We start from the raw sequence: 19,859 nt of genomic DNA, 5'->3' as shown, positions 1-19,859 counted from the left end.
CTGCATCCAGGACAAAGTCTAAATGTCTTAGCATGAACTCCAAGACTCTTCCCGCTCTAACCTGGCCACCCACCCCTCTTTGTCTCCCTCCCCTCTAGCCAAGCCAGCATCCTCCCACACCCCCAGACATCCAGGCTCTCCTCTGCCTCCAGGTGTGACTGGGCTGGTCCCACCATCTGGGCAAGCAGTTATTCAACCTTCAAAGTCAATGCAAATGGCACCTCCTCCCAGAAGCCCTCCGACCTCCTCCCCAGGCAGAGCCATTGCTCCCTCCCTATAGCTGATCACATTTTTGACAATCTCTCCTTGAGTGCTTACCTGATTTCCATGGGCTTTGTTTTTCTCTCCCGAGAGAGTGTGGACATTTGTGTATTGATCTTTGGATGCTAGAGACCAGCACGGTGCCTGACAGGGCCTGCCAGTGTAGGGGACAAAGGTTTATTACACGATGGTTTCGGGGGCATACAGCAAATGGAAGGTAAATGAAACACTGAGATACATGACAAAGCCCTGGCTCATCAGAGCCCAGTGAGGGGCCCAAAGGACTGGAGCTGATTGGAGGATTGAGAGAGGCTTGCACCCTGCGGGAGCTACAGAAAAAGTCTGGTTCGAGTAGTCTTTTTTAAGTTTAAGTTTATTGACAGTTGAGTAGTTGGTGTGAATGAGTGGGGTAGAAGACCTAGAAGATTAGTTGAGCCAATAAAGAGAATAAGGGAAATTAATATAAGGGATCAGGTTCGTCCTAAAAGACACTGCAGATTTTAGCTAGGCCAGAAGTGGGGGGCTGGTTTTATTCAGTTTGCCAAATCTGAGCAATGAGGAGTGGCTACCTAAGCCCTAGGAGGAGCAGCATCCTCAGGCCGAGGGCCACATGGGCAGGGCTGCACACTCCGTGTTTGCCAACCGTGGAATGGATGGGAAGAGGGCTGGATGGCTCTGCAGGTGCCAGGGACCACGGCTGCCATCTTCCCCCTCTTCCCCCAGGGAGAGGAACCCAGTCCTCCACTTGCTTCCATGGCCTGCTGTGTGCTGACTTCTCTGAAGTCTCAAAATAAATAAATAAATAAATAATAAATAAAATAAAATGATGAATTAGTGGTTTGCATCCTCCCTCCTGGCCTATTGGATGTGGCCTGTGAAAATACAAATGTGGCAGTTTGTTCTCGAATGCTTTCCTTCCAGCAATTGCCAAAAGCAGAGAGTGCATGTGTCCAGCACTTGGACAGGTGATTTGCGGTGTGGCTGAAAGAGCCCTGGGTTGCAGTGGTAGAATCGGGAGATCTAGATTTGAACTCCATCTTACATGGATCTCACTCTTGGTGAGAGCGTGGGCAGATGAGCTCCCTTGGGTGCAGTGTGGGAATGAAATCAACACCGTCTGCCTCACTTGGCTCCGGTCCGCTGCCTCACCTGCCCAGCAAGCACTGCCCACTGATCCCCAGCCCACCTTGCAATTTGCTCCCAAGTGCAGCCCTTGCCTCAATCCGTGTGGGTGAGCGTAGGGGGAGGGTACAGCCCGTTTGATGAGGAGCCCAAGGTGAGGTCTGGGAGTCTTGGGTCCTGGCAGACAAGGAGATGGGATGAGGCATTTCTCTGATACCTTGCCTTCCTTTAAAAAAAAAAAAGAGGCCAGGAGCAGTGGCTCACGCCTGTAATCCCTGCCCTTTGGGAGGCTGAAGTGGGTGGACCACCTGAGGTCAAGAGTTCGAGACCAGCCTGGCCAACATGGAGAAACCCTGTCTCTACTAAAAATACAAAAATTAGCCAGGCGTGGTGGCAGGTGCCTGTAATCCCAGCTACTCCGGAGGCTGAGGCAGAAAAATCACTTAAACCTGGGAGGTAGAGGTTGCAGTGAGCCAAGATCAAGCCACTGCACTCCAGCCTAGGAGACAAAAGCAAGACTCCATCTCAAAAAAAAAAAAAAAAAAAAAAAAGAAAGAAAAAAAGATATTTTCCCAGCCAAAGGGACTAGAAAATGGCAAGTTTTTCTTCTGATCTTGAAAAAATAAATAAGCCCTCTGCTTGTTTCATCTTTCAAAAACAGTAGCATTTGACCATTGATGAGGGCAGCCTGTGAGACTATCATTTCAGATTGCTGAGCGCAGCTTTTCATTCCTGCATGGAGCTTTGTTCTCCCGGGGCACAATGGCCTGGCCGCTCTAATGCTCTTATTCTGACACCTGTTGAACAGGTTCTTCCAGCCCCTAAAAGAATTCTTGAGACGTGGCTCCAACAATGACCGTGCTCCTGCATTTCACTCGGGAGCCTTGCTGACGGGTTTCAGAGTGCCTGGTGCAGACAGAGGTCAAAGAATCTTCATTACCAATGCATGCTAGACATGTTGCACTACCATCCACCTTTGGCCAAAGGCACAGTGAAGATGGCATCCTGAAAACTCTACACCTGCCTGTGCGTGTGCCTCTCCAAACCTATAGGCCACCTTTGCACCCTTTGGCCCACCTAGCTTCCAGGATTTATTCTTTTGTTTAATTGGATGATGGTTGTGAAGGATTCAACCACTGCTCACTGTAAGAGCCCTTCTCTTCCTCCTCTTTCTTTCTTTCTTTCTTTTTTTCTTTTTTCTTTCTCTCTCTATCTTCCTTCCTTCCTTCTCTCCTTCTTTTTTCTTCTTTACTTTTCTTCTTTCTTCTTCTTGTCCTTTCTTCTTTCTTCTTCTTCCTCCTCCTTCTCCTTCTTCCTCCTCCTCTTTTCTTCTTCTTCCTTCTTCTTCACAGGGTCTCACTGTGTCATCCAGGTTGGAGTGCAGTGGCATGATCTTGGCTCACTGCAACCTCTGCCTCCCAGGCCCAAGCAATCCTCCCACCTCCACCTCCCGAGTAGTTGGGACCACAGGCACTACCACACACAGCTAATTAGAGACATTATTTATAGGAAATCCTGTGGAATAGTGGGATGTGGTTAATAATTATTGTACCCATTTCACCAACAAATAAACTGAGGCTCAAAAAGATAACATCAGTCACTCAAGGTCACAGAGCTGACTCAGCCAGGATTTGAAATCAGATCTTGCCAACTCTAGAACCTATATTGTTTTAACTCCATCAATTTGTAGCATTTGAAGTCTGTACCAGGGGCCGGAGTTGGGGTGGACTTGTCTCTCATGCAGGCTGTGCTGCAGGGGATTCATGAAGAGGATCAGGGAACAGGCAGAATTGGAAGGGACGCCCTGGCTGGGCCTGGGCAGAGCACTGCTGGGTGATGTCACCTACTTTACACTGCAGCGTGACATACTGACTTGGATTTGGTTGTTCTGTCTTTCAGTCCCAGGAATCCCCAAACCTGGAAAACATAGCAAACCCCCTAGAAGAAAATGTAACGAAAGAATCAATCAGTAGTAAAAAAAAGGAAAAAAGGAAACATGTGGACCACGTAGAAAGTTCACTATTTGTAGCACCAGGAAGTGTTCAATCCTCAGATGACCTAGAAGAAGACAGTAGCGACTACAGCATTCCTTCCAGGTATTTTATTCATCTCTTTTCACCCGTAAGGTGGAGCCAGAGAGTTAGAGAGTTATTTGCAGTTTCTGATTTGATGGGGTGGGAGGTGCAGGCATGGGATTGGACAGCAAGGGAAATACAGCTTCATACACAATCCTCATTCTCTACACCTGGGTTCCCCGACCCACCCTCATCATTACCAGACCTCATAAGGAGCAAAAAGGGAAGGATGGGAAGCTTGCCTTCTCTCCTCAGTCTTCAAACCTTTGGGTGGAAGCTGGCAGTGAGCAGCAGATGGCTGAACCATAGGTAGGCGTGGGGGTGAACGCGGTAGACTTGGAGCCTCTGCTGGCTGCCTTCTGGCCCCCAGACAACTACAGGTTGACCAGACTTCACTTTATAAGCATCTTAATGACTTCAAGCATATCCACCTTTCCACCAAGGAGACCATTAATGTCTGGCACGTGGAAGCTGGACATCTCATTAATATTATGGCTTCTTCCACAATTCCCATTCCAAGGAAGTAGGGATGCTTGATTTAGCTTGGGAGAAGGAGGGAGCAGGGAGGATAATGAGATTTAACTGATCTACAGGAATCTCATAGCACACCTCTGCTCTGTCACTCCAAGGCCACCAGATGAGCCAGATTTGTCCCAGGGAAAATGTGTAACTGCTGAAAATCAGAAGACCCTGGTCTCTCCCCTCTCTCATCGTCACAATAGTCAGTCAGTGTTGATCAAGCCCTTACTGTGCCCAGGAACTTCACATTCATTTTCTCATTCATTCTCACGTCACCTATAGACACATTGGTGGGACTGTGCCTCATATGGCAGACAAAGAAGGTCAGGGGGCCAGGTAACTTCCCCAGCTTAGGGAGTCTTGGACTCAGATGTGTCCCACTCCACATTCCACATTCTTTTTGTGCCCCCTTGTTGCCTGTGATGATGTAATACAAGCTGCAACAGAAAACTATTGAGGTATGCATTTGGGGAGGGGTAGGGAGAAGCCCATACAGACAGAGCCAGAGGAGTTGCTGGCAGGTGCCTGGCTTTCCACCTCCCTCTGCCTTGCTTCTGTGCCTGGACTTTGGGGAAACAGAGGCAGGGGGAGGAGGGCCAAGGCACAACAGAAGGCTGCTGCCCACTTGGCCTTTGACTCCCAGCGTGCCTGTCCCTGCCCCTGGGTGTGACTGTCTAGCAGTCATCTATGATCTTCTCATGTCGCTGGGCTCTGCTGTCAGTGCAGGTGAGCACTTTGGACAAACAGTGCAGGGGATTTGCCCAACTGCTCAGCTTCTCCCTAAGCAGATTAATTCTCAAAGAGTCCTTGAGCAGCCACTATGCAATGGAGTCTGCTAGGCCTGGGGACTTCAGGAGAGGGAGAAAGAGGTCAGCCACAGGGGTGATTCAGGCGGGGCTCCATCCTTCAAGGAAATAGGACGTTACCCTCCATTCCGCTAGGACTGGGTGGAATGTGAAAAGTGCGAGGCAAGCATTCCCACTTGTACATTTTGGACCTCAGACGCAGGTAGAGAGAGTCAGGGCAGCCTGGTCTAGGCCCAGGTCTGACTAATTGCAGAGAACCTCTGGTGAGTCCCAGCACATCAGGATGCTTGGGTTACTTCCTGCTCCAAATGCTTTGATTTTTAAGAATATGTGCCTTGCTTTCTATTTAAAATCCTGACTTTGATTTTTCTTGTAGATGAGGGCCCAATGTGTGTATCACTAATATCCATCCTATTTGTAAGCACTGTCCAACCAAAGTAGGCATGTTAGATATAAAATCTGTCATTTCTGTCCCTGGCTGTGAAGTTGTCGCTTGCCTAAACCCATACGTGGAAACCCCAGGATGGGGGTGACCGTACAACTGAGCCATGAAGAGCTCCAGGTGGTACCAATTCAAAACATGTGTTTGTTTTTCAGGACTAGTCACAGTGACTCCAGCATTTACCTTCGACGACATACTCATAGGTCTTCGGAATCGGTTAGTATGTGAATTTCTTCTCTTTCCGCACGGCCCCTGCTAATCAATTCCTTTCCATCCTTCCTCCTCCCCAGCCCAGAGCTTTGAAATTACTGGCATGCAACAGCTATACTTTTGGATAGAAGACAAGCAGATTGGAACCTTATCATTAAGCACAGTCCGATCGGATATCCGGTTTGGGCAATAAGAGATGTAAATAAAGTGAGGATTTTAAAGCCCAAAGGCCTCCTTGCTATAAAAACGCACCCAAAACGCCTCACCTGGACCCCGCGCGCACCCAGAAGGATCACGTTCAGAGACAGAGGTGCAACATGAGTCAAGGTCCGATGGACAGTGGCACGTGCTCAGTAGCAGATGTGTTAGAACCCGGAGCAGCACACCCCAATCCGGGTTCCGGGTGGTGGGGTCTCTCGCACTCACAAGGGAGGGGCTTAGGGGAGGAGGTAGAGGAATGTATATTGTTTAGCACTTTGATTTTGGATCTAGACGCTGGCGGTATTGAGAAATGCCCGGCATGCTCGGCTTTGTGTGTTTAAAATCGTTTTATCTTCTGTTTCAGAGATTTCATCTTTACTAATTGGGTTGCGGGGGCTTTTGTTTATAAATTTCACTGTAGGATCATTTTAGCTATGTTCAGTTGAGGAACGCAGCAGATCTGGATGACAGAAGAAACCGAATATTAACCAGGTTGGTGGCTTTACTTCAGGTTTTGTGGGGGTAGTAATAAAATGTTTTTACATTCTGCAGCCTGCCTTACAGGGGTGGTTATTCTCCCACTGCTTTGTTGATAACAGTATTAATAATTTGGGATAATGCAAGAAAATAACTATTCCAGAGAAAATGATGTAAATTGAATATGAGTAGAAAGGAAAAGTAGATATTAATTAACACTGATGGTTAGGGCCCGGTTCCGAAAATGAGTCAGTTTAAAGACGGGTCTGGGTTCTGAGCCTGCAGCTGTGTTTAAATGAGTGGTATAGAGTATAGGGTGGTTTAGTGGTATAGGGTAGTTAGCAAAGGGACGGCCAGGCAGGAGAAGAGGTGGTGGTCTTGTGAGGCTGTGTGGCCCCTGTGAATGCTGTAGCCCCTGACGCCTGTCCATTCTCTGTTGCCACTGCAGGTACAGTACTCAGAAGCTTACTGAGCTGATTTTACAGTTTTATGGCATCAGAGCAGACATGAAGAGGGAAAGCAAACATGCCAGGATGTCTATGAAAGTATTTCTTGCTGTCGGAGAACTGTTGGCCTGGCCTAATGTTGCTGAATTGCTGGAAACCTGCCCATTTAAAACATAGGAAACCAGAAAAACGTCTCAAATTCTTACAATTCTGAGACGTCCCCATTCCTGTTGAAGTCATAGAGTTGCTTTATTATGTTTTTATTTTTAAAAAATTTTATTTACTCGCCACAGATTTGAATTGGCTTGGAAGGATTTAGATTACTGGAATCGGAAGCCTCTGTCTGAATATTACCCAACACCCAAGAGTGTGGTCATTAGAACCCCATCCCTCTGGCTGCTAAAAAAGAAGCAAGACAGCTCCTTTCCCCTGCCATGAAATGGAAATACTAATTCAAGTTTTCCACCAGGCTGGATATGCTCATAGGAAAATAATCCTTTTTGCTCTTATGAGATAGAGGCGTTGAAAATAGAACCTGTAAAGTTGAGAAATGCAGTCGTGTTTTCAGTTGTCTACATTGAGCATTTATTACCTTTATAATAAAAAATATGGTTTAGGCTGCGCATGGTGGCTCACGCCTGTAATCCCAGCACTTTGGGAGGCCAAGGAGGGAGGACTGCTTGAGGCCAGGAGTTTGAGACTAGCCTGGGCAACACAGAGAGACCGTGTCTCTATAAAAAGTATATAGTTTAACTTGTTTCTGTGGACAGCTTTTTAAAGAAGACCATCATGTGGGTATTTATCATTCAGTATGTAGACTGTGGCAGATGTTTAATCCCACCCTGCCCCTCGCTCCTGCTATCAGGAGATAGTTCTGGGACAAGTGGTTTTAGCCTCTCGTAATCTCCATTACACCGCACGAAACCACCCTAAGAGGCTTACACTGCAGGCTTCTCTACATGCAGCTCCAAGCAGAGGCCCCAGCCCCAGGCAAAACCTTCTGGGCTTCCCTATGATCCGCCAGGCAAAACTGAAATGACATTTTAACACTACCACCTATAAAATAAAAGCAGGAAGGTAAATCTGACTGAAATCAAATCTAGTAATTATTTTAAAGGTAATATTCCAAAGCCAAAACAAAACTGTGGGGAATGGGAGAGGTCTTTGTTTCTTTCTGATAGATGATTTAAAATGATCTGCTATTAGGGACACTTCATCCCTTAGATGACCTATGGGGTCCCCTGCGTTACTAACAAACAGCAGCAAGCGATCAGTATCTAACTCCGTGTCACTCTCTGAGAGCACTGTGGCATCAAGAAAGGTGTCCCAGGAGACCTGGCCTAGGCGCCCTCTCTGTCGCCAAGTTAATTGCATGGCCTTGGGCAAGTCACTCCACCCCGAAAGCCTCAGTGTGTCCATCTGCAGAATGGGGCTGCCACCTCCTCTCACCTGATGTTATGGAGATGAACGGAGTACGTGCAAAAGCTCGAGGGGCTGCCTGGATGGCCCGACGCACTGCCTTGGGCCAGTACACACAGTGTGGGGCCTACCTGGACATGGTGCTGGGGAGCCTTCGGGTCTTCAGGCGGGGAGTGGGGGCCGGGGAGAGACGGGTAGCACTGGGTGGGGTCCACTTTCCTGGGAACCTGCTTGGTAACTGCGTTTCCTCTGTGTTTCTTCTGTAGGAAGGCCAACAGCTCAGGAGAAGCCATGTCACTGGGGAGCCACAGCCCGCAGAGTGACTCCCTGACACAGCTTGTCCAGCAGCCGGATATGATGTATTTTATTCTCTTCCTGTGGCTCCTGGTGTACTGCTTGCTGCTCTTCCCACAACTGGATGTTAGCAGGCTCTGATACGTGTGTCTGGATAATAAAAAAGACAGGACCCTGACCAGGGGCGGGGTTACTTCATTTTATTTTGGGTTCTGGGTGGGGCACTTCTACAGACAGTTGAGGACCTCCGAGGAAACTTAGACCCCCTTTCTCGCTATTGTGGTTTTTTTTTTTTTTTCAGGTTTCCTTTTTTTTCTGGACAACCTGAGCATGCTTTTTTCTTTGGCTGTGTACTCAAAACTCAGGCATGCAGCTGGATCCGTAGGTGGGGTTTTGTCCTTGTGTGCCTTGCTGGGTTGGATAGGGAGCATTGTTAGTGATCATTAGCCCGCCTGGATCTTAGCACACCCCACATTGCAGGTTCACACGCTGGATGAACTTGAGTTTCTTACCTCTCAGATGAAGGGCTGCTTAATGAGAAAGAGGGTGGGCACCCCAGGCCAAGCCCCAGCTGGGGAGAGAGCTGCCACGTTTTCCTCCAAGCGTGGGTGTTTGAGAGAAGGTGCTGGGGTCCATGCACCTGTCGCAGTCCGGTAACTGGTTGCATTCACTAGGGGAAATCCGAGCAGCCAGCTCTGTGTAAGCACATCCAGGAATGGCAGAATCCAGGGAGGAAGGTGAAAGCTGTGTTGAGAGCCACTGTGTGCTCTTTTTCACCCTGTTTTTTTTGTTGTTTTTTTGTTTTGTTTTTTGTTTGAGGGGAGATAACACTTGAAATTCAGTTTTCCATTGATTGGATTGAGATAGAACCATGATTTTCAAACCAGATCGCCAGGGCCCAGCAGGGCCATATAAAAGCCATGAGGAGTGGCTGGGCTGGAATCAGCTCCCAGCAGTGCTGGAGCTGGGTGGTGGGGTAGCTTCCTGCCCACTAAAGCTTTGGTGCACACCTCCCTCAGAATGCATGTCTTGGAACGGGCATTCTTTGTGGTCACTTGTAATGGGTTTCTTGAAGAGGCTTTCTGGACAGCACTCCGGGAGCAGGCCAGCACAGGAGGTTTGTGAAAGAAGAGAGGCATCTCTAGCACCCCTGCCCCCAGTCTTCCTCAGCCCCAGGCTCCCTCTGCTCTCTCCTCCCTGCCAAGACTCAGGTCCGTGGTGAGTCTCTGCATTGGTTCCTCCTCCCCTTGCTCTCCCCTTCAGAAAGCATGTACCAGGCAACCCTTATAAAATCACAAATGAGTCAGGAGGGGACTCAGTGAGCATCTTGTCTAGCTGGACCCAGAGAGACAGAGCAGCTTGACCAAGATCATATAGCCGACCAGGGGCAGACTTGCAGTGAGCACACAGGCACCTGATGCCCTGTCCAGAGCTGTCACCCCTTGTAGGAAACTTCCACTGGGCACACCAATGTCCTGAGAAAAAGATAAAATGACTAGATTAAAATGTCCACATTCAAGCAAAACCAAAAAGTTTAGACCAACTATCGACATTTGTTTTGTTCTTGTATTTTTCCCATGAGGAATTCTTACTCACCTTCAAGCTCATCCCCAATTCCTTCTGAAATACCCTTGACAGCTGCAACAGCTTGTCATTTGACATACCAGCGTCGCTCTTACTCCAGGAATCACGTTTCTTTCTTTGCTAGCCAAGGACTTGCTCATTTCAAGCAGTGGGTTTCAAGTTTACAGAATTCCAGCATGGCCAGAAGAATTTACATAGCACATCTGAGTCGATGACAGCCAAAATCTGGCCTCTAAACCAGTCTGATTATAGTCTGTCTCCCCTCCTGAAAGAATTTCAGCCTTCCAACCAGAAAGCTGCTGGGAGCTTGGAGTGATTCCATCTGGAAGGCCAAGAGCCCCATGGAAAATGAGCTAATTAATGAGCTCCCTGGCATCAATGAAAGCTCAAAGGTACAGATAATAAAGATTATGTGATAGTTTATAACTCTGGGCACCATGCAGTCCTTGCCTAAATTAGATGCTCGAAGAGCCTGGGAAGAGCCAACCCAAATGTGAATCATTTCATTTTATGGGTCTAGACCTTGTTCAGAAAAACCTCTGCAAGATACTTCTCTCACCTATTACAACTTGTAATATTGTTTAAAACATCTACTGGCAAGATGCCTGAAAGTCATTTGGTTCAGGTTGGCAGTCAACTGATATTTTGCAAAGGAAAAAAAAATCTCATTTGAGTATAGGCTTCTATGGAAGAAGCTGGATATAGAAAATGGATGTGGAAGTCTGCAGGACAAACCACCCCATTGCTTGTAAATTTTTTTTAAATTAAAAGAAATACAATAAGGCTTTTAACAAGAACTAGCAGTCCCCTAAGTCTCGCTGCTTAGAAGTAACCACTTTCAACTCTCTTATGTTTGCATTTCTACATAACGTGCTTACACTTTATTTTTTAATTTAGAAACATCTACTGGCTTGCTGTCACAGTAGAGGAGGATTTCACTCTTACCATACCGTGCTTTGGTTTTCCAGTATAGCTAGATCACATCATTTAGTACATTTCTATTAGGTGTTGACATTACCTGGAGCACTTAAGGATTGTTGACTCCCAAGCCCAGCAGTGTGTTATGGTTACATGTCCTTTCTCCTCCAAATGTCCCCATTAATTTGCTATTCTCTCTCTTTACTTTTTTTTTTTTTTTGGTGTGGCACATTCTTTAATAACTTCCTGAGGAAGAGAACATGGGAAGTAAATATGGTTGTAAATATTTTGAGATTTTTGCATGACTTAAGATGTCTGTATTCTGCCCTTAACAGAAATGTGGCTGAGCATAGAATGACAGGTGGAAAATAATACCCTCCCCTAGCCCCTCCCAAGCGTGCTGGTTGAGATTTCTGATGCCATTCTGATTCCCGTACCTTTATATGTGACTTAGGTTTTTTTATCCACCCTTCCTGGAAACATTTAAGATCTCTTTATTCTTGGTGTTCTGAACTGTCATGATGGTGTTGTATCCCGGGTGTTAAACCTTGTGCTGGGCCTTCATGGGAAATTTCTTAAATTTTCTTGTGATTATTTACATTCTTTCTTTCTGGACCACCTATTATTTCAATGTTGGACCCTCCCCTACACCCAGGCTGATGCTCTAATATTTTTTATCTTTTCTATTTTTCGTCTATGTTTCTGATCTGCTTTCAGGAAGAATTATTCATTTTTATCTTCCCAATCTGAATGTTTTATTGAATTTTTATTTTCCAAGTTAATAAAACCTTTGGTTATTATCCTGTCTTTGTTTTACAGTGTCCTGCTCTTGATGCGTGGATGCAGATTTTGTCTCTCTGTGGACGTTAATGATTGTGGTCTGAGGGGAAGTCTTTTCTGCTCCCTGTGTTGCCCTCATTTTCTCTGAGTTCTCTTTATTTTGGTGGTCTCAGTCTCTATCTTTCACGTTGTGAATTTTTCTCAAATATATGGTGATCCTATGGATCTGTTCATGTTTTAAGAGTGAGGCATCCAAAAGCTGATTGGAAGTTGTGTGTGCCAACTGGTGAGCTTTTCCACTAGGGTCACCAGGTGGGCACCTGGACTCATCATTGGAGAACACTGCCTGTCAGTATTTGCACGTGTTTTCTCTGGGGCTCATTCTGTTTCTTGAGAGATATTCCCACTACTCTCCTTCCTGGGAAACGGGCATACACAGGGCTTTTAGCCTATGCTGAGTACTCATGTGGTTTCAAAAATGGTGTCCCATCTGGGCAGAAGTCCCCATGAGCACTTGGCTTGACTGGCAAAGGACACCTTTTGCCCCTTCCTCCAGACATACCCAGCTCTGAGCTTGGACAATGCTCGAGGAACAATGAAAAGGCTAGATTTTAACTCCTAATTGCCCTCTTTAGCCAAGTGCCTCTGTGCAATGCACAACTGTAGGACCATATCCAGAGACCCTGGTCTATACTCAGTGTGCCCGAGTCCTGACCGCTGAGCAGGCAGCCTCATCACCCGTGAGTATTTAGACTTTCATTAAGTTGCTTCAACCTTTGCTGTGCCTGGTGTCCCTGAGTTGGAGCTGCTCTGATTTCTCCATGGAGTAGGAGCACAGTGGTCATCTGGCTGCATGGGAAGGACAGGGGACCTCAGAGCCAATAAATGCCCTGGTCTTCAGCCCCATGTCTCACCCCATCCCTCCTATTCCAATCCCCAAGCCTCTCCTGGAGGCCACAGGGCATCTCTGCTGACCACTCTGTGGCCTCCCCTCTGCAGGCATGTGGTTTTAGGATCCCCCTCCCTGCTCACTTTTCCATCAGTTCCATTCCTGCATAAATAGGTTGCTAGCTCTTGCTTACTGTTCTCTTCTGTATTCTGTGTTCATGGTTGTATTAATATAACTTTCATTCCTCTGCTCCTATTTTCATGGGGTTTCATGAGGGAAGAAACAGGCTCATGTGTTCAGTATACCATCTTGATCCATAAACCCCATTTGAGTTATCTCACAGGTTGCTTAGGGGGCTTGCTGCTCTGACTGGTTTGTGAACGTGCCCTGAGTCCAGCTGGGACTGCAGCAACATCCATCCTGTTGAGCTGTGGTCTGCTAAGTGATTTTGTGTAATGCTGTGCCAAGTGCAGGAGAGGGATACATAGCATGGCTAAGCTCTGCTTGAATGCCATGATTAGTTATTACCTTCCTTCCTTCCCCCTGGTTTTGCTGCCTATTGTCAGTAAATGATCTTAGATCTCCTGCCTCCCCAAAGATATAGTCTATGTGGTGGTCTGGGTTCTAGGTTTTCTTTACCACCCTTGCTTCACTTAAGAAACAGAAAACTGGCTAGGCACAGTAGTGGCTCACACCTATAATCCCAGCCCTTTGGGAGGCCAAGGCAGGAGGATCGCTTGAGGCCAGGAATTCAAGACCAGCCTGCACAACATAGCAAGACTCCATCTCTACAAAAAGTTAAATTTAAATTAGTGGTGGCATACACTTATAGTCCCAGCTACTCAGGAGGATGAGGCAGGAGAATTGTTTGAGCCCATGACTTTGAGGTTACTGTGAGCTATGATCCTGCTATTTTACTCCACCTGAGTGACAGAGCGAGACGCTGTCTCAAAAATAAAGAAACAAGTAGTCCACACAGGTGTTTGCCAGCAAACAAACAGCGCGGATTCTCTGTTGAACGTGGCCAACATTGCCTCGTCGAAGTTTGTATCTTGCCATAGTTGATGATCAGGTGGTCGGGGCTTCCTGGTCAGACCTGACCTTTGTGGGGAGATGTTCTCCCACCAAGGCTCAGAAGCAGGACACTCTTGCTGCCCCTCGGGCAGCCACCCAGAACATGGGCGTCTCCATTTCTGAGGTTCAGCATAGTTCCCCCCACCCTCTTCCCATGCAGTGCATGCCTGCTCTTTATCAGGATGGAACAGAGGGAAGGCAGAGGCACTGGGGGCAGCCTGTGTTGTTGATCTCTGTAAGTCACAGACTGTTCGAAAACCTCAGGAATTATGTAAGCGTTCAGTGCCTCATTTAAGAGATGAAAAACTGAAGATTAGAAAGAGGAAACGACTAGTCGCCCTGCTAGTTGATGACCTCCAGATAGCCATCTTCATTCCCAGTTAAGTTTACTACAAAACCACAGCCTCAGCTGCTGAAGCTAACCTCCCTACCCACCATCGCTAGGGACTCAGAACACCATGGAGCTCATCTCTCCAACAAAAGTCAGAATTAGCAAGTACAGATGTGTCTTACGAAAATGTCAGAATCCATCATGGCTGCTTTGGTGAGGAGCTGTTCTCCTTCCGTGGTCATGCCATTGGAAGGCAGTTGTATGACAAGAATGCTTTCACATGAGCTCCGATTTTCTTAACTCTCCAGAAGGACTTCAGAAGCCTCTGGAGTTTTGAGACACGGCCTCTCTCTCCCTTCTGCTTGGAGACACCTTCCTGGGGGTCTCCACTGCATTCCCCGCCGGTATTCCTCTGTGGAGCCTTGCGCCCTCAGGTCCCAGAAATGGGCTGTGTGGGAGCTTCCAGTCAGCCTGGTATCTCGGGACCTTCTCAGCCAGGAAATGAGACTGCACAAAGCCCTGTGAGGCCCAGCTGTGTTATTTCTCCTTCCCCGACATTGCATAATCACTGCTGACACAGCATTTGGGGAAGATTTAACGTCTTGGGCCAGCAGCTGCCATCTGGAACCATCACCACATAGCAGGTTGTTCTGTCCCATCCAACTGATGAGGGGGCTGCCCTAATGACAAGGTCCAGGACCTGGGTTGGGTGGTGGAAGGCTGGGAGCTGGAGTGGGCATTATTGTGCTTCTGTGCTGAAAATTGCTATGGCTCTTTTCCCCTAACAGCCAGCGTGGGAGAACCAAACATGAGACACAAGCATCCCCTTGAGCTCCACAGATCTTGCGCCTTGCTCTCATCAGGCATTTCCTTGGAAAACAGCAGTCAGCAGCTCATGGAAGTGAGCCCGGTGCACAGACTTTGCATGGACTTTGCACAGGTTCCATTTCCATCGTGTGCAGACACCTGTATCTTTGGGCTCCACGTGAGCACCTGCCCTCTTCACTCTGATTTTTTTTTTAAGAGACAGCATCTTACTCTGTCACCGAGGCTGGAGTACAGTGGTGTGATCACAGCTCACTGCAGCCTGAAACTCCTGGGCTCAGGCAATCCTCCTGCCTCAGCCTCCCAAGTAGCTGGTAGTACAGGTGCATGCCACCACGCCCACCTAATTTTTTTATCTTTTATAGATACAGGTCTCACTGTTGCTCAGGCTGGTCTCGAACTCCTGGCCTCAAGTGATCCTCCTGCCTTGGCCTACCAAAATGCTGGGATTATAGGCATGAACCACTGTGCCTGGCCTTCACTCTGATTTTTCTTAAGAGTCCTACAGGACCTTCAGGTCTTGTCACTTCTCTACCATTGTGTGTGAGACAGGGCATGGGGTGAGCTTGGTCAGGTGTGGGTCAAAAGCCTGGAGACTCAGAGCTGCTGGTTCCCCAAGAGCCCACAAAAGTTATCAGAGTTTCTGAGCTGAGTGTTCTGCAGTTGCCAGACCCCACAATGCTGGGAATACTGGCTTCTTTGTGTTTAGAACTTGTTCTGAGAACCTTGATGAGAACACATCAAGCAAGCAGTTCCTCCCAGCCAGGGCTGGAGCAACATGCCAAAAAACATTCTTGTCTATGGGAAAAAGACAACCAGTATTTTGTACTGTTTGACCAAGTTGTTTTTAAATATACACATGCCTCAACAATCCACGGCCTCAATCGCACTGCTAATTTGTTTAAATCCCTGACACTCAGATGTCAAGAATAGCTTCATCTAGCAGTGTTCTCTTTAAAGGAACCCTTTTTTTTGTTTTCATTTTAATCACTGCCTTCTTCTCTGGGAGGTATTGTGGGCTAGAGAAAGAAGTCAGGTTTGGGAGTCAGCCAGATTTAGATTGGAGTCCCAGCTCTGTCACCAGATCTCTGGGTGATCTTGGCAAACTAACTTCTGAGCTTCTGTGCATTATAGGCATTCAGCACATATTTGTTGGATGAAAAATACTTTTCTTGAAAGTTTATGAAGTTGTAGGATGCCCAGCAGCCCCCTTTTCTCTATTTCCTTCCTCTTGAAGCAAGCGTTGACTATACCTCTTTCCCTAACCCTTAGTGTACCATAGCTTCTTCCAACCTCTCTCCAATCCATTACTTTTTTCTGAGCTACCCTGTCTCAAATCTAACTCAGGCCTTTTTGCAAGAGGAAGTTTAAGCCATTGTTTACTCATTAACTCACTTGACCCTTAGAACAATCGTGGGAGGTGTTTATTTCGGAAAGGAAGCTAAAGCACAGGACAGAAAAATAAGGTCATAGCGTGAACTAGTAAGTAGCAGAACTGGGAACATAGGACTGTTATTTTCAAACACTCTAAACTTCACTGCAGTTGCAAATTTGCAACCAAAATGGCCGCCTTGAAAGGGTCTTTTGCAGTAAAATCTCAGTGTCCAACATCAAAGACAGTTCTTCAGGGCCTCCAATTAACTATACATCCTGCCCCCAGCTGCTCATCTCTGCACCTCTAACACGTACTTCACAGAGTAGGAAATTGGGCTTTCTCCTTCAAAAAGAAAAGTAGAGAAGGCCTGAGGGCAGTGTAATTAAAATGGAGAAGTAGAGACCACGAATTACTTGGATGAATTCATAACTGGTTGGTCTCTGAGGCAGGGATTATTATTTTTCCTGTATTTTAAGCTTAAAAGTAGTGATTTTTGCATTGTTACAAAAAACAAAATAGCAAAATATCATTTGATACTTGTATTCTGTTTGCAATAGCTACCACTTCCTTTAGCCCCAGCAAAAATCAATAGGTGTGTATTCTCTACAAGCCCATGCTGTGCCAGAATGCCAGTATTGCTAAATGTCATGCAAGGATTTAGACACTTTTTTAAAGGAAACTCTGGGAGTGCCTGTTGTCTGGAGAGTTGACATTGTCCAAAGCAGGCCAACACTGGTATGGGTATGGAGAACCCACGTCCTAGCTGTGGCTCACCTGCAGATGCCTTGAATTTACCTCTCTGGGTTGGAAGTGGGAAGACTTCTTTTAAAAGTCCTTTCTAAGTTTAAAAATCCAAAGGTTACGAAGGTAGTTTTTATTTATCTCAATAAGTGGCCTATTTGCTTAAAGCAAGTGTACCTCTGTATATCAGCCCAAAGCTTAGGGCAGTGCTTCTTGGCTTTAGTATCTGAGAAAGGTGCCTTTGGGAAGAGTTTGGTCAGACAGAAGGTAGTCTGAATCTTAAAGGTTTCAGATGAATGTTTGAAGTAGAACCTGGGAAATCTGCTTCCTAGGGCTGTTAGAAGGAAATTGGTCTCCTTAAATTACGTCAGCATCTGAGGCAGTTTCCTAAGGGAATTTCTTTTAAATTCAAAAGTTCAACTGCAGGAATAAATAGCTGTACAGGACTAGATCTTCCCATCCCTCATCTTTTCCCCTTCCCCGAGTAACGACTCAAAAAGGCTTCTGAAATTCTACTCAGAATCGGAGCCGTTTGCATTCCAACAAGGATCCCTTAAGCCAAATGCTGGTGTGTTTGTGTAGAATGTCCCTGGGGTAGGGGCGGTAGCTGTGGGGAGGGAATGTGGTGCAGGGGACACCTGCCCTCTGCCCTTGAAATTGCACCATAAGATGCTGCCTATGTCACTCACAGTGGTGCTGATACTATCCGCCAAAGACAAATTGTGAACACGGAAAAATGGTCGTTCCCTACTGTACATCCTCAGGACAGACTTAACTAAACTTGGAGACAGGAGATTGTTCAGACCATATTGTAGTGGGTGGTGATCATTGTTTTATTTTGGGGGAGTCTGGTCTATTGAGCAGATTGAATGTTTCCTTATTGTGCAGGGCTTAATTGACTATGTCTGAAAGTTTTTACTGAGAGCTCTAAGAAAACTATTGAGGAAAATGAAATGTTATTTTGTAGTACAAGGATTATTTTTGTCTATTTAGGATATACATAGCTGTAGCTTTGTAAAAAAAAAGATCTTTATAAACAATATATGAATGTGCCGTCTTATTTATTGATTACTGTAAATTAAGATATAAATGGCTATTTGAATAATTTATACCTGTGGGAATTAACTGGAGTATTTGTTATTTGACTGTTTTCTATTAAGGAATATTAGGCTTGGTGCTATGATGAATGATCTTGTAAAATCATGTGTATTCTTAAGAAAATTTTTGAATATAAATTTCTTGAACTGACGATTTCGTTGATGATACTTATTTTCATGTGTGTTTGTGGTTTTGACAACCAGAAATTACACTATCTTTCCAACAAATAGTCCCAACAAATAATACTTTTGCCAGGGCCGAAGCGAAGCCAATTGGCTTTAGAGTGGTAGAGATTGTAGAGAATATGCCCTTTTTTAAACTGCATTAACTTGCCTAGAGCCTTTGTAATGCTCCAAGTAGTAGTAATAATAGTAGTAGTAGCTATGCAGCTCTGGAGTGGGACTGCCTAGGTCTGAATCCTAGATCTGTCTTTTACTAGCTGTGTGACCTCCAGGAAGTTACTGTAGTTGCCAGGGGTCCTCAGAAGACAGAGCCTGAGCCAAAGCTGACGTGATGATTGCATCATTTGAGGGCAGAGGGGATGCAACCAAGGGCAGCAGGAGTAAGATGGGGACAGAGGGAGAGCAAATAAAAGGTGGTGCAACAAATATTTATTACACACCTACTTGGCATCAGCACTGTTCTGGTTGCTGCGAATATAATAGGAAACCAAAACAAGGTTTTTATCCTCCCAGAGCTGACCGTCTAGTGAGAAGAGGCAGACAGAAACAAAATAATGGTAAGATGCACAGTATGTCGTCAGTGCTATAAGAAAACGCAGGGAAGGAAGGTAGATTGGGGGTGGACAGCGAGGTGCCACCAGGTTCATACAGCAGCCAGGAAAGACCTCTTTGAGCAAGAGACATTTGACTAAAGACCTAAAAGAGCCGCAGGGACAGATCCTTTGAATGCCTGGGGAAAGAGTTTTCTAAGCAAAGGGAGCAGCCAGTGCAAAGGCACTGAGGCAGGATCATGGCTGGGGTTTTTACGGAACAGCAAAGAGCCTGGTTTGGTGAATGCATGGTGAGTGAGAGGAGAGAGGCCAGGTAGGGCCTTGTAGGATGTGTTAAGGGCTTTGGCCTTTACCCAGAGTGAACTGGGATCCACTGGAGAATTTTGAGCACACGTCAGCTTACATTTTAGCAGGCTAAACCCAGCTGCCATAATGAGAATAAACTCCAGGGAACGAGGGCAGAATGCAGAGGCCAGCCAGAAGTCTATTTCAACAGTCCGGGAGAGATGACAATGGCACAGGTGGGTGCAGCGGAAGTGGGCCACAGTGGTTTTATTCTGGATGTATTTTGAAAGTAGACCCTCTGGATTTGCAAATGGATTGGGTGTACAGTGTAAGAGAAAAAGGATTGAAAAATGCTCCAAGGTTTTGGCCTGAGGATCTGGAAGAATAAAGATGCCATTGGCTGATGGGGAAATGGGGCTGAAGCAGATGGTGGGGAAGACCCGGAGTTCCTGAATCTGAGCATGTTAAGTTTGAGACGCCCGTTGCTCATCTCCTTTTCCTCTCCCTGTCCAAGGGTACTCGGGCTGTGGCACTGAAGTGCCCTGAGGTGACTGTGCCTCTGTCTGCACTGGTAGGGCGCAGCCCCCATGGCCCCTTAGCTGCTCTGCTGCTGTGCCGTGATTGACTGGGCTTGGGCATCTCTGACCAGTTTTGGAATCTCAGGTCCCCAGTGTACCATGAGGCCATTCCCATGGCATCTGCGGAGCCCCCAGACTGATCTCTCCCCCACCAATCCCATTCTGACACGCCACCCCGAAGTGGGTCTTCCGACCACTCTCCCTGCTGTATTTGAATTTTAAATCTTTTGAATACAGATACCAGGAGGCCCTTCACAAACCTTCCTGGATGCACAGAGCCTTCTCCCTGCTTGAATGGAGACAAAGAGAAAACACATCAAACGATCTGGCCACATTAAAAGGGGAATGGCAGGCTGTATGACAGGAAGATAAACCC

The 19,859-nt window shown here is 46.6% G+C and overlaps 1 protein-coding gene across 5 annotated transcripts in view, besides 2 other annotated features; it reads left to right on the top strand.

The window, feature by feature from the left end:
- CLMN (calmin) overlaps nt 1–18,037 on the top strand; it is a 137,969-nt gene extending 119,932 nt beyond the window's left edge. For 2 of the 5 annotated variants that reach the window (XM_011537158.2, XM_017021646.2), the window contains exons 10-14: nt 3,283–3,479; nt 5,381–5,441; nt 6,058–6,128; nt 6,562–6,658; nt 8,249–18,037. In XM_011537158.2, the coding sequence (XP_011535460.1) occupies nt 3,283–3,479; nt 5,381–5,441; nt 6,058–6,128; nt 6,562–6,658; nt 8,249–8,413 (591 nt within the window). In that variant the 3' untranslated portion in view covers nt 8,414–18,037. The other 3 variants (NM_024734.4, XM_011537159.3, XM_047431774.1) reach the window with 3 other exon arrangements.
- Nucleotides 191–1,119: an enhancer, noted in NCBI's record as "NANOG-H3K27ac-H3K4me1 hESC enhancer chr14:95665195-95666123 (GRCh37/hg19 assembly coordinates)". NCBI's record gives its function as "activates a minimal SCP1, AML or CMV promoter by ChIP-STARR-seq in naive H9 embryonic stem cells {active_cell/tissue: H9 hESC(naive)}" and the evidence as "EXISTENCE:reporter gene assay evidence [ECO:0000049][PMID:30033119]".
- Nucleotides 3,495–3,661: a silencer, noted in NCBI's record as "fragment chr14:95662653-95662819 (GRCh37/hg19 assembly coordinates)". NCBI's record gives its function as "represses an EF-1alpha promoter that drives an FKBP-Casp9 reporter gene in an ReSE screen in K562 erythroleukemia cells {active_cell/tissue: K562}" and the evidence as "EXISTENCE:reporter gene assay evidence [ECO:0000049][PMID:32094911]".
- Nucleotides 18,038–19,859: the final 1,822 nt, after the last annotated feature.

Source organism: Homo sapiens, chromosome 14, assembly GCF_000001405.40.
Source record: "Homo sapiens chromosome 14, GRCh38.p14 Primary Assembly".
Lineage (NCBI taxonomy): Eukaryota > Metazoa > Chordata > Mammalia > Primates > Hominidae > Homo > Homo sapiens.
This window is presented reverse-complemented; position numbering and strand designations above follow the sequence as displayed.